This window comes from Homo sapiens, chromosome 19, assembly GCF_000001405.40.
Source record: "Homo sapiens chromosome 19, GRCh38.p14 Primary Assembly".
NCBI classification, from domain to species: Eukaryota; Metazoa; Chordata; class Mammalia; order Primates; family Hominidae; genus Homo; species Homo sapiens.
The window spans coordinates 37720271-37736260 of record NC_000019.10 but is presented as its reverse complement, the minus strand read 5'-3'; positions in this window follow the sequence as shown (position 1 = coordinate 37736260).

The window sequence follows — 15990 nt, the reverse complement described above, 5'->3', positions numbered from 1 at the left end:
CTTGGGAGTTTCCTAAGCTAAATTACCCACTTTTTTTGTTGCTGTTGTTTGTTTGTTTTTGTTTCTTAAAGACACAATCTTGCTTTGCCACCCAAGTTGGAGTGCAGTGGTGTGATCATAGCTCACTACAACCTTGAACTCCCGGGCTCAAGTGATCCGCCCATCTCAGCCTCAGGAGTAGCTAGGACTACAGGTGTATGCACAACTACATCTAGCTAATTCTTTTTTTTTTTTTTTTTTTGGTAGAGATGAAGTCTCCCTATGTTGCCTGAGCTGGTCTCAAACTCTTGATCCTCCTACCTTGACCTCCCAAAGTGCTGGGATTATAGCACGAGCCTGGGCCAGTTACACAGTTCTGTAGGTATTATTTTGTACTTTTCACAGTAACCACGTGCAGCCATGTTGCTTTCTGCTGTTGCATAACAAGAATCCCTTCCCCCTAGTCTCCAGTAACATTTTTCAGTTTTCTTTAAGCCCTCACTAGGAGCTCCTCAAAAATATCCAGGTTTCTGCTAATAATATTTTCCAGGCACTTCCAATTTCCACCCAGTTTGTGGTCCCAATGCCCCTCTGACATTTGTAGCTTTTTGTTTCAATAGCATCCCTTGTCTAGGTACCAAAATCTGTTATCTCATGCCACATTCCAAAGAACCTGAAGAATTAGTGGCTTAAAATGCCAATAAATGTGTATTTTTCTCACAGTTTCTGTGAGTCAGAAATTTGGGAGCAGCTAAGCTAGGCAGTTCTAGCTCCAAGTGTCTCAAGAGGTTGTGCTTATCTAAAGGCTTGACTATAGCTGTAGGATATGCTTTCAAATGGCTTAGTTCTGTGGCTGATAAGTTTATACTGGCAAGTCGTTTCTTCTCCCAAGGGGCCTTGTCCATAAGCTGCTTGAGTGTGCTTGTGACGTGACAGATGTGATCCTTTTTATAATCTCTCTTTGGAAGTTAGTTCTGCCACGTTCTGTTTGTTCCCAGAAAATCACTAAGTCTGGCCTACATTCAGTAAGAGAGGAATTAAGTTTCACCTTTTTTTTTTGAAGGCAGGATCTTTCACTGTCGTCCAGTGGAGTGCATATGGCTAACTTCAGCCTCAACCTCCTGGGCTTCAGTGATCCTCCTGCTTCAGCTTCCCGAGTAGCTGGGACTACAGGTGTGCGTCACCATGCCCAGCTAATTTTTAAATTTTTTGTAGAGATGGGGGTCTCACCAACTTGCCCAGGCTTGTCTCAAACTCCTAAGCTCAAGCAGTCTTCCCACAGTGTTCCCAAAGTGCTGAGATTATAGGCGTGAACCACTGTGCCCAGCCCACTTTCACTTTTTAAAGAGAGAAATGTCAAAACATTTGCAGACATATTTTTATTTTTAAATCGCCACACCTGACACCACTCAATCATTGTTGAAGTCTCAAAAATTAGTACTAATAAACTAACTTGTTAATGTCACATATGCAATAGTGCTTTTAGCCATGGCACATGCCTTACCTGTCATCACTGCCACATAACTCCCTGTGTGTCATTGGCCAAGATATTTATCATCTATGGGAATTATTTGCAAAGTATAATCAAGAGCCTACATGAAACCCAGGCATGGTGGCGCACACCTGTAGTCCCAGCTACTCGGGAGACTGAGGCGGGAGGATCGCTTGAGGCAAGAGTGTAAGCCTGCAGTGCTCTATGATGGTGCCTGTGAATAGCCACTGCACACCAGCCTGGCTTTTTTAGGCCCCATCTAAAAAGAAAAAAGGTACATAAGAGTCCTATTATGCGGATGTGGCCGAAATTATACTTGTCAAAACCTGGGAAGACTGTTTGGCATATAGCGTTATGCTCAATAAATATGAGCTATTGGCCGGGCGCAGTGGCTTACGCCTGTAATCTCAGCAGTTTGGGAGGCTGAGGAGGGTGGATCACATGTCAGGAGATCGAGACCATCCTGGCTAACATGGTGAAACCCCATCTCTACAAAAAATACAAAAAATTAGCCGGGCGTGGTGACACGCACCTGTAGTCCCAGCTACTCAGAAAGGCCGAGGCAGGAGAATCACTTGAACCTGGGAGGCGGGATCATGCCACTGCACTCCAGCCTGGGTGACAGAGCGAGACTCCATCTTAAAATAAATAAATAAATAAATATGACCTATTATAGATATCGTCATTATTTGTGTTGCTGATAATTAATTTTTATGAAAGATTCTAATAGCATAATTAATTTAGAACAGCTTCTGAAAGCCACTCATCTATTATTAAATTTTATATAATTTTGGAAATTAAGAATATGATTTTAGCATGTCTAAAGATTTTGACCAGGTGCAGTGGCTCACACCTCTAATCCCAGCAGTTTAGGAAGCCAAGGCTGGCAGATCGCCTGAGATCAGGAGTTCAAGAACATCCTGGGCACATGGCAAAACCCCATCTCTACTAAAAGTACAAAAATTAGCTGGGCATGGTGGCACACACCTGTAATCCCAGCTACTCGGAGGGCTGAGACACGAGAATCACTTGAACCCAGGAGGCGGAGGTTGCAGTGGGCCGAGATCACACCGCTACACTCCAGTTTGAGTGACAGAGCAAGACTCCATCTCAAAAAAAAAAAAAAAAAAGATTTTGCATATCTTGTTTTGTTTTGCTTTTGCTTTTTTCATTTTTTGTGGAGATGGGGTCTCACTATGTTGCCTAGGCTGGTCTCAAACCCCTGGCCTCAAGCAATCCTCCTGCCTTGGCTTCCCAAATTGCTGGGATTATAGGTGTGAGCCACTGTGCCTGGCCAAGATTTTGATAATAGCCAACAGTTCATATTTTCTGTTCACAATTTAAGATTAAGTAGGAATTAATAATGGGCTATCAAGAAGTAAATTGTTGTCTTGGAGGTTTTCCCTAAATTTGAAATGTACATTTTAATTTAACATACAGAAAAAATGAAAGAATTGTTTAGTAACCCACCATATATGTTTACATTCATGTTATTTGCTTTATCTTATTTCAGCTCTTTTTATCCGCTTATGTATGGGTTATTTCTGTATCATTTGAGAGTAAGTTGTAGATACCATGGCCCTTTGCCTTTAAATATATGCAAATTTCCTGGATAACTGTGATACTATAATCATACTGGAAAAATGTAATAATTTATATAGTGTCTTCAAATATGTGCCCAAAGATTTTTTATAACGACTTATTTTCTAATCAGTATCCACTCTTGGTTAATTCATTGCATTTGGGATTTTTTTTTAATTTATTCCTTTTCTCTAGGATAATATCCCCACTTTTTCATGCTTTTGAATTTTTCCTTTTTTTTTTCTTTTTTTTTGAGACAGAGTCTCACTCTGTCACCAGGCTGGAGTGCAGTGGTGCGATCTTGGCTTACTGCAACCTCTGCCTCCCGGGTTCAAGCAATTCTGCCTCAGCCTCCCAAGTAGCTGGGACTACAGGCGCATGCCACCACACCCAGCTAATTTTTGCATTTTTAGTAGAGACGGGATTTCATCATGTTGGCCAGGATGGTCTGGATCTCTTGACCTTGTGATCCACCCGCCTTGGCCTACCAAAGTGCTGGGATTACAGGCGTGAGCCACCACACCCAGCCTGAATTTTTCTTTTTTAAGTACCCAAAGAATGTCCCACATTCTTGATTTCTGCTTCACAGTATGATTTAACTTGTTGCTCTGTCCCTTGTTTTCCCATAAATTGGCAGTTATGTCTAGAAAATTCATTAGGTTGAGATTTTTGTCAAGAACATCTCATGAATGATGCTGCAGACTTCTGAAAGCATATCAGGTTTTTACATGATTATTTATGCTACACTGTAAAGCTTGCTTAAAGAGGCAACTGTCAGCTCTCCATTGAACAATTCCATTTTGCATTAGTAATTTGATGGGTGCTACATTGATCCGTTAATTTGAAAACATAATCCCTTTAATTCAGGAAACAAGGATTGAAACAAAAAGATGTCATTGTATTCATCTCTCTGTGTAGCACATATGAACTGCCTGTTAAAGGTTAGACTATAAATCTGTGGATAGAAACAATGTTAATATATGAGGCTAGAAGAAAGGAAAACAAATATACCAATATTAAGAAAAAATTAATAAAACTAGATAAAGAGATTAATGATTAGGAAATAAAACTAGTTTTTATTCAAATCTTACCCCCTCCCATTTTGTGGAACATGAGCTAAATCTCTAGATATAATCAAGAAAAATTTTAAAAGAGATATGAAGAAAATGTTTTAAATTAAAAGTTAATTTTTGCCGGGCACAGTGGCTCACGCCTGTAATCCCAGCACTTTGGGACGCCGAGGCAGGTGGATCATTTGAGGTCAGGAGTTCGAGACCAGCCTGGCCAGCATGATGAAACCTCATCTCTACTACAAATACAAAAATTAGCTGGGCATGGTGGCATGCGCCTGTAATCCTAGCTACTTGGGAGGCTGAGACAGGAGAATCGCATGAACCTGGGAGGCAGAGATTGCAGTGAGCCGAGATCATGCCATTGCACTCCAGCCTGGGCAATAGAGCGAGAACCAGTCTCAAAAGAAAGAGTTAATTTTTGATGTTTATACCAAAATATTTAGCAATCTCTAATGTATTTTGAGAAGGAATTATATTTGTGAAAGAATATAGTTTTTCAAAATGACATAGATATTGTAGGAAATCGGAATTTTTAAAACATGATTGAAAACAAGATGAGTTTCACTCATTAGGGTAAATGGAAAATTTCTGAGTATGATATCAGCAAACTCTAAGATTCTTTTAAAATAATTGTGCAATAGTCATTTTTCTGGCAGAGTCAATTCATTCTTCTGGTTCAATATATTCTAGACAAATGAAAGAAAAGGAATGTTGATCTGTGTTTATCCTTGTAATTTTTCTAAGCTTTATATACAGTTTTATAAATGGGATGAATTATGTGCACGATACCATCAATTCTAAAAACTACCTTTTTAAAAACCTTTTGGAAATCAGGATTGCAGTTGATAACTACCTAAACTCACTTCCAGCCCTATAAAAATTACTTTTCCAAACTAAGGAGCATCACGCATTATGCATTGTCAGCCAAAGTTCTGTAGTGTCAGCGTGATCATTCGTTGTGTCTGTAGTGTCAGCGTGATCATTCGTTGTGTCTGTAGTGTCAGCGTGAACATTGTGTCTGTAGTGTCAGCGTGATCATTTGTTGTGTCTTTAGTGTCAGCGTGATCATTCGTTGTGTCTGTAGTGTCAGCGTGATCATTCGTTGTGTCTGTAGTGTCAGCGTGATCATTCATTGTGTCTGTAGTGTCAGCGTCATCATTGTGTCTGTAGTGTCAGCGTGATCATTTGTTGTGTCTTTAGTGTCAGCGTGATCATTCATTGTGTCTGTAGTGTCAGTGTGATCATTCGTTGTGATCTACATGCTCATATCCCTTTTGTCCACAAAGGAAATAATTCGCCTTTAAATATTAACATCATTTCCCCTATGCAATTTTAAGTTTTGATAATGAAATAAAACACAATGCAGAATGATTTTGCTATAGGTTAGATGACCACTGTACTTGATAATTGAAAAATGGTTTATGTTCTTAGACAAGCCAATGAAGCAATCTCCTGCTCTTGGAACAAACAAAAACCACATGATTAACCTCTCACAAGATTGACGTGCACTGTGGTGTAGAAAGTTTGTTTGCCTTTCCATAACCCAGTGTATCTAAGAATTACCTCGGAACTTCCATTTCTATTAATATTACCTACTAACACTTAAGTCTGAGTGTGGTGGCTCATGCCTGTAATCCCAGCACTTTGGGTAAGGCCGAGGTGGTCGGATCACTTGAGGTCAGGAGTTGAAGACCAGCCTGGCCAACATGGTGAAACCCCATCTCTACTAAAAATACAAAAATGAGCCAGGTGTGGTGGCGCATGCCTGTAATCCCAGCTGCTCTGGAGCCTGAGGCAGGAGAATCACTTGAACCCGGAGCATAGGCTGCAGTGAGCCGAGATTGTGCCACTGCATTCCAGCCTGGGTGACAGAGTGAGACTCTGTCTCAAAAAAAAAAAAAAAAAAAAAATCGGGACATGAAACCATAAGCTGAAATGCTGCCAAGACCTAAAGGAATGACCCTCAAACTGGAATTTCAGCATTTTGTCATGTGATTAATCCCCGGGAGAATGCAGTCAGCTCACATGATGATAGGCAAGTAACCACCTTTTTCTGTACTCGTACTACTGTTACTTTTCTACAAAATGAAAAACCTAAATGTTTTTTTGTTTTGTTTTGTTTTTTGGGTTTTTTTTGTTGTTGTTGTTGTTTTTGAGACGGAGTTTTGCTCTTGTTGCCCAGGCTGGAGTGCAATGGTCCGATCTTGACTCACTGCAACCTCTGCCTCCCAGGTTCAAGCGATTCTCCTGCCTCAGCCTCCTGAGTAGCTGGGATTACAGGCACGCATCACCACGCCTGCCTAATTTTTTTTATACTTTTAGTAGAGACAGGGTTTCTCCATGTTGGTCAGGCTGGTCTCGAACTCTCGACCTCAGGTGATCCACCTGCCTCGGCCTCCCAAAGTGTTGGGATTACAGGTGTGCGCCCCCACGCCTGGCCTAAATGTTTTTAAACTCTCATCCTGATCAGTATTTAGGTTATAGATAATTTTTTAAAACTCTACTTAGAATATTGTTTCAGAGGAGTCTGTAAATAACAAAACTCTATAATTGCAGTCATAGCTGATGTATCTATACTTGGATCTTTTCCAAATGCTCTTCTACTCTTGTAATTTCTAGTCTGGTCAGCTGGAAATAAAAGTATCCAGTAACTCCACTTGTCCATCTAAAAATATAATTATTTTTTTAACTAACCCATTAAGTATTTTTTATATGTATTTATTAGCCAATCATGTTATTTACTGTGACTTTCCTGTTTGTTTCTTTTGCTCATTTTCTCAACCTGCTGATTTATGAATACACACACATACTCTAGATCTTGATTCTTCTGTTATTTTATATATAATATCCTTTTCCTGGAGAGTAGCTGTTTAAAGTGCATTCATGATTTTTCTGATACTGATAGTTTTCCCACATACTATCATATTATATTTGGATGTTGCCATTATCACTCTAACCATAAACTGGTAATCTATTTATATTTTTAATAGTATGTGAGATTTCTGTGTATTCAGTCAGATTATCTATGAATGGAAATGAATTTTCTTTTAAAATCATTATTATTTCTTTACTTTTATTAAAATAAATACGATTATGTCAAGTATTGGGGTAATAGCCAGTGTCTTAGTTGTTTAAACAGTTTAATGGAAATCAGTACAATATTTTACCATTCAACTAATATTTACTTTGTTGTATGCAAGTATGCTCTATAATTAGGGCTAACTTCTTATATTTTTTCAAATCCTATCACTTCTTTTGCTTTGTTCATATATCATTCTCCTCTGCTATTTTAATGTTATAATTCATTCTGATTTCTTGTTTTAAACCATTTCTGAAATATAATATGCTTAGCTGTGGTATATTATTGTTTTGATAAGCTGCTTAATTTATCTTATGAATATTTTGTTTGGGATTTTTGTCCAAATATTCAAAATTGATATTAATATTATTAGCATTCATATATTAACATTCAAAATTAAGAATTTTTTAAATTTTTGTTATTGCCATTATTTGTTTATTAAAGGTTAGATAAAATTTGGCTTTAAACCCATATGGTCCTGTTTTTTCTTTATTTTGTTTTCCTTCTTACAGTTTTAATACTGGATTGTTAAACACTTCCAAAATCACCTGATACTCTATTTGAATTTCTACTTTCTATGAAAGCAACAGATTAACTGAGCTGCGTACCTGCCCGAGGCACAACGCCTGTGAGCACTGCACATTGTGGTATTACCACTGGGTTCCACATAAAAGACGCATCCCCACATGAACCCCTCAATGAAAATCAAGCATTATGTGTTCTTGGCAATACAATGCTAGGAGTTCAGAACTCTTTAGCAAGAATATAAGATGCGGGCCCCGCATGGTGGCTCACGCCTGTAATCCCAGCACTTTGGGAGGCCAAGGCAGGTGGATCACCTGAGGTCAGGAGTTTGAGACCAGCCTGACCAACATGGAGAAACCCCATCTCTACTAAAAAAAAAAAAATACAAAATTAGTGAGGTGGGGTGACGCATGCCTGTAATCCCAGCTACTCGGGAGGCTGAGGCAGGAGAATTGCTTGAATCCAGGAGACAGAGGTTGCAGTGAGCCAAGATGGGGCCATTGCACTCCAGCCTGGGCAACAAGAACGAAACTTCATCTCAAAAAAATATATATATAAAATGCATTGCTGCTTAGACGTGTTTGGATACTTACCAGCAGCCCTCATGAGAATGACAGATTCTTTAATGTGTGAAAAATTTTAATGCAGGGTGAGTAAATATCCACTAATAGTTTTATTTTATTGCCTCATGTTAAAATTATAATTTGTCACATAATTAGCATTGATTGCATTAAATATTAAGCAATTGACATTCCTCTAGATCTGCACTGTCAGGTAGATACAGTAGCCACCAGCTACACGTGGCCATTTTAAATTAATTTAAATTTAATAAGGCATAAAATTGAGTTCACCAGTAGGACTAGTCACAGTTAAGTGTTCAATAGCCATGTGTATTGGACTTTACAGATACAGTAGTCCCCTCTTTATCTAATGTTTCCTTGTTGTTAATCTCTTGCTGTGCCTAATTTATAAATTAAACTTTATCATAAGTACATATGTTTAGTAAAAAAATAGGATGGTTTGGTGCCATCCTTGGTTTCAGGCTTCCCCTGGGGGTCTTGGAACATAACCCCTGCAGATAAGAGGGAGACTACTGTATACAATGTTTCCATTATTAGAAAACTTTCTATTAGGAATATTCTGAATACTTATATTCTATTCAGATAAAAAATAATCTTATGGATTTAACCAATGAAATATTGCCAAGCACTTAATTATCATTTGCAAAATTAATTGAGCAATGTTAGGTATATATTAAAAATCATAGGCTGGGTGTGGTGGCTCACGCCTTTAATTCCAGCACTTTGGGAGGCCGAAGAGGGAGGATTACTTGAAGTCAGGAGTTCAAGAACAGCCCTGGCAACATAGTGAGACCCTGTGTCTACAAAAAAAAATTTTTTTTAATTAGGCATACTGGTGCATGCCTGTAGTACCAGCTACTCTGGAGGCCAAGGCAGGAGGATTGCTTGATCCTAGGAGTTTGAGATTGCAGTGAGCTATGATGGCACTACTGCACTCTATCCTGGGCAATAGAGTGAGAACCTGTCTCTAAAAAAGCAAAGAAAAGTCGTTAATTTTTAGCAGATACTTGAAAGCATCTTTTTTTTTTCTTTGAGACGGAGTCTCGCTCTGTGGCCCAGGCTGGAATGCAGTGGCATGATCTCGGCTCACTGCAAGCTCCATCTCCCAGGTTCACACCATTCTCCTGCCTCAGCCTCCCGAGTAGCTGGGATTACAGGTGCCCATCACCTTGCCCGGCTAATTTTTTTATTTTTAGTAGAGACGGGGTTTCACCATGTTAGCCAGGATGGTCTCAATCTCCTGACCTCGTGATCCGCCCGCCTTGGCCTCCCAAAGTGCTGGGATTACAGGCTTGAGCCACCACGCCCGGTCTGAAAGCATCTTAAATATTTTAAAGTGGAAACAATATGCAAAAAAGTTGTAATATTGATTTATATTTTATTTTTTTGAGACGGAGTCTCACTCTGTTGCCCAGGCTGGAGTGCAGTGGTGCGATCTTGGCTCACTGCAACCTCCGCCTCCCGGGTTCAAGCAATTCTCTGCCTCAGCCTCCCAAATAGCTGGATTACAGGTGTCCGCCACCACACCTGGCTAATTTTTTGTATTTTTAGTAGAGACAGGGTTTCACCATCTTGGCCAGGCTGGTCTTGAACTCCTGGCCTTGTGATCCACCCGCCTTGGCCTCCCAAAGTGCTGGGGTTACAGGCGTGAGCCACTGTGCCTGGCTATTCTTACTATTTTTATGCACTTATGTTCTATTCCTTCCTATTTTTCTCTCTACAGTTAATGGTAATTGAGCAATTTTTAGATACTCCTCTAGTTTCCATGGTCTTCACTGAGACACACGCATGCAAAGACGTAATCACAAAAAAAGAAAGCTTTACCATGTGGATTATCAACCACATGTTTCTTGATCAGGGCCTTGGTCTTGGTGATCTTATGGAAGAGATCATTAAGTGTTTTTCTTTTAGCTTTTTCTTCTTAAATAAGCATTATTGAGATAAAGCAAGATATAATTTTAGGCTGAACACAGTGGCTCACTCCTGTAATCCCCACATTTTGGGAAGCCAAGGTGGGAGGATCCTTTGAGCCCAGGAGTTTGAGACAAGGCTGGAGAACAAAACAACAAGACTCATCTCTACAAAAAGTAAAAAAAAAAATTGCCAGGCATGGTGGCATGCACCTGTAGTCCCAGTTACTCGGGAAGCTGAGGCAAGAGGATCGCTTGAGCCAGGAGTTTGAGGCTGCCATGAGGGCACCACTGCACGTTAGCCTGGACTACAAAGCAAGACCCTATCTCAAAAAAAAAAAAATTAAAATTTTGCTTACTTTTAAGATATAATAACAGGGTAGGATGTACCCTCCCATCTCAATAATTTTTAAAAATATATAGAATGACAGTTTTCAGACACTGAACAACAAGCAGACCACAATCCCCATTTGCAGAAACCACCAAGGTGAGCTCTATTATTTCTCCCAACTTAACATCTGGAGTATTTTCAGTCCATTGCTCAGGGAGAGTTAACAGAAGCAGAGCCCAGTGTTCTTCCCGAATTGAGACACAAACTTGAGGATTTGCAGAAGCCAGGGTATGTGGAACAAAGTACTAGACAGGAACAACCTCCATGAAGAGATCTCTGGAGCGCTGCCAGGGAGTTCCCTTTGAATCTTCAGCTGAAAGTACTGACCAGTTAGCTATATGTGAAAACACCTGAAGCTGTGGAAAAACCCACTTGAAATGAATAGAGGGAATAATCCTCATAGCTCAAACAAGTCCAGGAATAGCAGGTGTTACCAATAGCCAAAGTGGAAAAACCCTCATAATTCACAAGACCTCGGATACTCAGAAGTATACTGTCTTAAGAGAGAGGAAAAATCAGCTTTGGACTAATTAGTCTTGCTCTGGTCCTGCCTTATCAAAGCTGAAAAAGAACCCATGAAAAAGATCAAACTGTTTTCAAGTTACGTGAACTATATTTCAAAACAAAGCTCAAAAATATTGAAAAATATACCAGAATACCTGGCAAGGTAACATTTCAATGTTTAGCATCCAATCAAAAGTTACAAGACGGGTGGGTGCAGTGGCTCACGCCTGTAATCCCAGCACTTTGGGAGGCTGAGGTGGGCAGATCATCTGAGGTTGGGAGTTCCAGACCAGCCTGACCAAAACGAAGAAAACCCGTTTCTACTAAAAATACAAAAAATTAGTCGGGCCTGGTGGTGCATGCCTGTAATCCCAGCTACTCGGGAGGCTGAGGCAGGAGAATCACTTGAACCCGGGGAGGTGGAAGTTGCAGTGAGCAGAGATCACACCATTACAATCCAGCCTGGGCAACAAGATCGAGACTCTGTCTCAAAAAAAGAAAAAAAAAAAGGTTACAAGACATGCAAAGGACCAGGAAAACATGACACATAACGAGGAGCAAAATTGATTAATCAAAATTGTCTCACGTATTAGAATTGACAGGTTATCAGAATAATTATAATGATATTTCATATGTTGACAAAGGTAGACCAAAATATAAGCACTTTTTTTTTCTTTTTTTTTTTAAAGACAGGGTATCACTCTTTGGCCCAGACTGGAGTGCAGTGGCCCAGTCATGGCTCACTGCAGCCTCGACCTCTTGAGCTCAGTTGATCTTCCCACCTCAGCCTCCCTGGTAGCTGGGACTGCAGGCATGCACCACCATGCCCAGCTAATTTTTTGTATTTTCTAGTAGAGACAGGGTCTTGCTTTAGCCTCTCAAACTGCTGGGATTACATGTGTAAGCCACTGCACCTGGCTGAAATATAAGCACTTTTAGGAGAATCATGGGAGATGTTTTTTTAAACCACATTAAACATCCACAAATGAAAACTACAATGTCTGAGATGTAAAATACTCTGGAGAAATGATTAGATATTGCAGGAAAAGGATTAGTAAGCTTAAAAATTTTCCCAATTGGTGAAAACTGTAGACTTACAAATTGAAGCAACTCAGTGAATTCTAATCACAAGAAATGTAGAAATCTAAACAAAGACTGATCATAATCTAATTGCTTTAAAATAGTGATAAAGAGTAAGTCAGCAGAGAAAGGAGACTACATAGAGAGGAACAAATGCAAGAATAAAAGTATTTCTTGTTGAAACCAACATAACCTAGAAGACAGTTGAGCAAAATTCTTGTATAGCGCAGAAATGAAAAATGTTACCTTGAATTCTATACAATGTGAAAATACTTTTGTACGAAGGTGAAAATTTGTGGATGTCTGATTTTTTTAGACATCTAAAAGATGAGAGGATTGATGCTTTCCTACACTCTAAGAAATGTTAAGGTTCTTCAGACAAATGGAAAGTGATATCAGATGGAAATTTGGACCTACATAGGAAATGACTAATATGTGGGTAAATATATCTTATTATTTAAATTGCTTAAAAGATGATTGAGCTGGGCGTAGTGGCTCACACCTGTAATCTCAACACTTTGAGAGGCTCAGGTGGGAGGATCACTTGAGCCCCAGAGTTTGAGACCAACCTGGACAACATAGTGAGGCCCTGTCTCTGCAAAAAAATTTAAAAATTAGCCAGGTGTGGTGGTGCACACCTATAATCCCAGCTACTCAGAAGGCTGAGGTAGGAGGATTTCTTTAGCCTGGGAGGTCGAGGCTGCTATAAGCTGTGATTGCACCAGTTGAGGCTGCTGTGAGCTGTGATTGCACCACTGCACTCCTGCCTGGGCAACGGAGCAAGATCCTGTCTTTAAAAAACAATAAGATAGTCTGGGCGCAGTGGCCCACACCTGTAATCTCAACACTTTGGGAAGCCAAGGTTGGTGGATCACTTGAAGTCAGGAGTTCAAGACCAGCCTGATCAACATGGTGAAACCCTGTCTCTACTAAAAATACAAAATTAGCCGGGCCTGGTGGCGCGTGCCTGTAATCCCAGCTACTTGGGAGACTGAGGCAGGAGAATTGCTTGAATCTGGGAGGCGGAGGTTGCAGTAAGCTGAGATCGTGCCACTGCACTCCAGCCTGGGTGACAAAGCAAGACTGTATCTCAAAAAATTTTAAGAATAATAATAATAACATTATTACTATCTTTCAGAGAAACTAAATATGAGGAAAAAAATGGTTTTACTTCCATTAACTTTAATTCTGACTCTTCATTTCTTGTTTAGATACAAATTTCTGATTCTGTCCTATTCTTTCTCAAGAATTTTCTTTAACATTTCTTATAAAGAAGATCTGCTAACAACAAATGCTCTCAGTTTTTACTTGTTGAAAACTCTGTATTTCTTTTTTATTTCTTTTGGTAACAACTTTGTATATAATTCACATTCCATCCAATTCACTCATTTAAAGTGTAAAATCCAGTAGTTTTTAATGTAGTCACAAAGTTGTGAAACCTTCAACACAGTTTTATAACATTTTCATCACGCCAGCATGAAAGCCTTTAGCCACCATCCCAATTCCTTCTGCCACCGTTCAATTTAGGAAACAATTTACTTTCAGTCTCTATAAATTAGCCCACATTGGAAATTTTATATGAGAAGAAATTTCACATAGAAGGAATCATAAATATGTGGTCTTTTGTACCAGCTTCATTCACTTAGCATAGTGTTCAAGGTTGATCTATGTTGTAGCTTGTATCAGATCTTCATTTCCTTATATTACCAAATAATAGTCCATTGTGTAGATATGCCACATTTTACTTATCTACTTATAAAATGAAGAACAATTGGGTTTTCTTTCCAGTTTTGGCTATCATGAATCATGCTGCTATAAATATCTGTGTACAAGCTTTGTGAGAACATATGGTTTTGTCTTGAGAATATACCTAGGACTAAAATTGCTACATCGTATGGTAACTCTACATTCTTCTGAGGAACTGCCAGACTGTTTATACAGTAGTTCTACCATTTTCCAGTGACACCATCAATGTATATAGGGTTCTATTTATCCAAATCCTATCCAAAATTTGTTATTGTATATTTATTTGATTTTAGTCATCCTAAGTAGTATATCTCATTGGGGTTTTGGGGTTTTGATTTACATAGTCTTTTTCTTTGTTTCCCAGGCTGGTTTCGAACTCCTAGGCTCAAGCAATCCTCCTGCCTCGACCTCCCAAAGTGCTGAGATTACAGGCATGAGCCACTGCTCCTGGCTGATTTGCATATTCTTAATGATTAATATAGAACATGTTTTCAAGTATTTAGTAGCCATGTGTATACTTTTTTTTTTTTTTTGAGAAATGCTTATTCAGTTACTTTGCCCATTTTTGTTGGGCTTTTTATTATTGAGTTGCAAGACTTCTTTATATATTCTAGATACAAATCCCTTATTGGATACATAATTTACAAACAATTTTTCTCACTCTTTGGGTAGCTTCTCACATTCTTGGTGGGTTTTGAAGCACAATGTTTTACAATTTATGTCCAATTTCCTTTTTTGATGTTGTTGCTTGTGATTCTGATGTCACGGTTAAGAAACAATTGCTGACTATAAAGTCCAGAAGATTTATGCCTACATTTCCTTCTAAATGTTCTACTGTTTTAAGTCTTACACCTAGGTGTTTGATCCATTTTGAGTTGATTTTGTATATGGTGAGAGGCAGGGAACTCAATTCATTCCTTTCTATGTGCATCTCTAATTCCAGTCTTTTCAACAAAGACTACTCTTCCCTTCCTTAAAATGCCTTGGTATCCTTGTTGAAAATAGTATGTGGAGCCGGGCGCAGTAGCTCATGCCTATAATCCCAGCACTTTGGGAGGCCAAGGCGGGCAGATCATCTGAGGTTGGGAGTTCGAGACCAGCCTGACCAACATGGTAAAACCCTGTCTCTACTAAAAATACAAAATTAGCTGGGCATGGTGATGCATGCCTGTAATTCCAGCTACTCAGGAGGCTGAGGCAGGAAAATCGCTTGAACCTGGGAGGTGGAGGTTGCAGTGAGCCAAGATCGTGCCATTGCACTCCAGCCTGGGCAACTAGAGCAAAACTCCGTCTCAAAAAGAGAAAAAAGAAAAAGAAAATAATATGTGGAGTCAATTTAATCCATTGATCTATGTGTGGTATTTCTGAGAGATTATTCAGGAGATTCAGGAGCAACAAATCCAAGAACTAATTAAGAGAAGAAAAAGTGATCAATAAGTTCTTAAATTGTAACTTTAATAGTTTTTTTTCCTTGACTATTTGTATTTTTGAATGGTGATTTTTTAGTTTTGTTCCTTTTCCTCTTAGGGTATAGACAAATATTTTTTATTTTTAAATTAATTTTACTTATTTATTTTTTGAGACAAGGTCTTGCTCTGTTGCTCAGGCCAGAGTGCGGTGACACCATCATACCTCACTGAAGCCTGAACTTCCGGGCTCAACTGATCCTCCTACCTTTGTCTTTGGAATAGCTGGGCCCACAGGCGTGTGCCACCACACCAGGCTAACTTTCATTTTTGGTAGAGTTTGGGAGGAGGAGAGGGGTGTCTCACTATGTTTCTTAGGCTGGTTTTGAACTTCTGGCCTCAACTGATCCTCCTGCCTTGGCCTCCGAAAATGCTGGGATTAAAGGCGTGAGCCACCGTGCCCAGCCTGTATTCATCAATATTTTATTAAGCCAAAGAAACAGGAAATTCGGACTATTAAATATTTGTCCGTTTTAGCTGTTGTAAATATTTCCCCCAAATTTACTTACCTAAAAATTTTTCTTATTCGTTTTTTACCATTTGGAAATTTTGGATGCTTCTAAATAACTATGAAGATTTACAA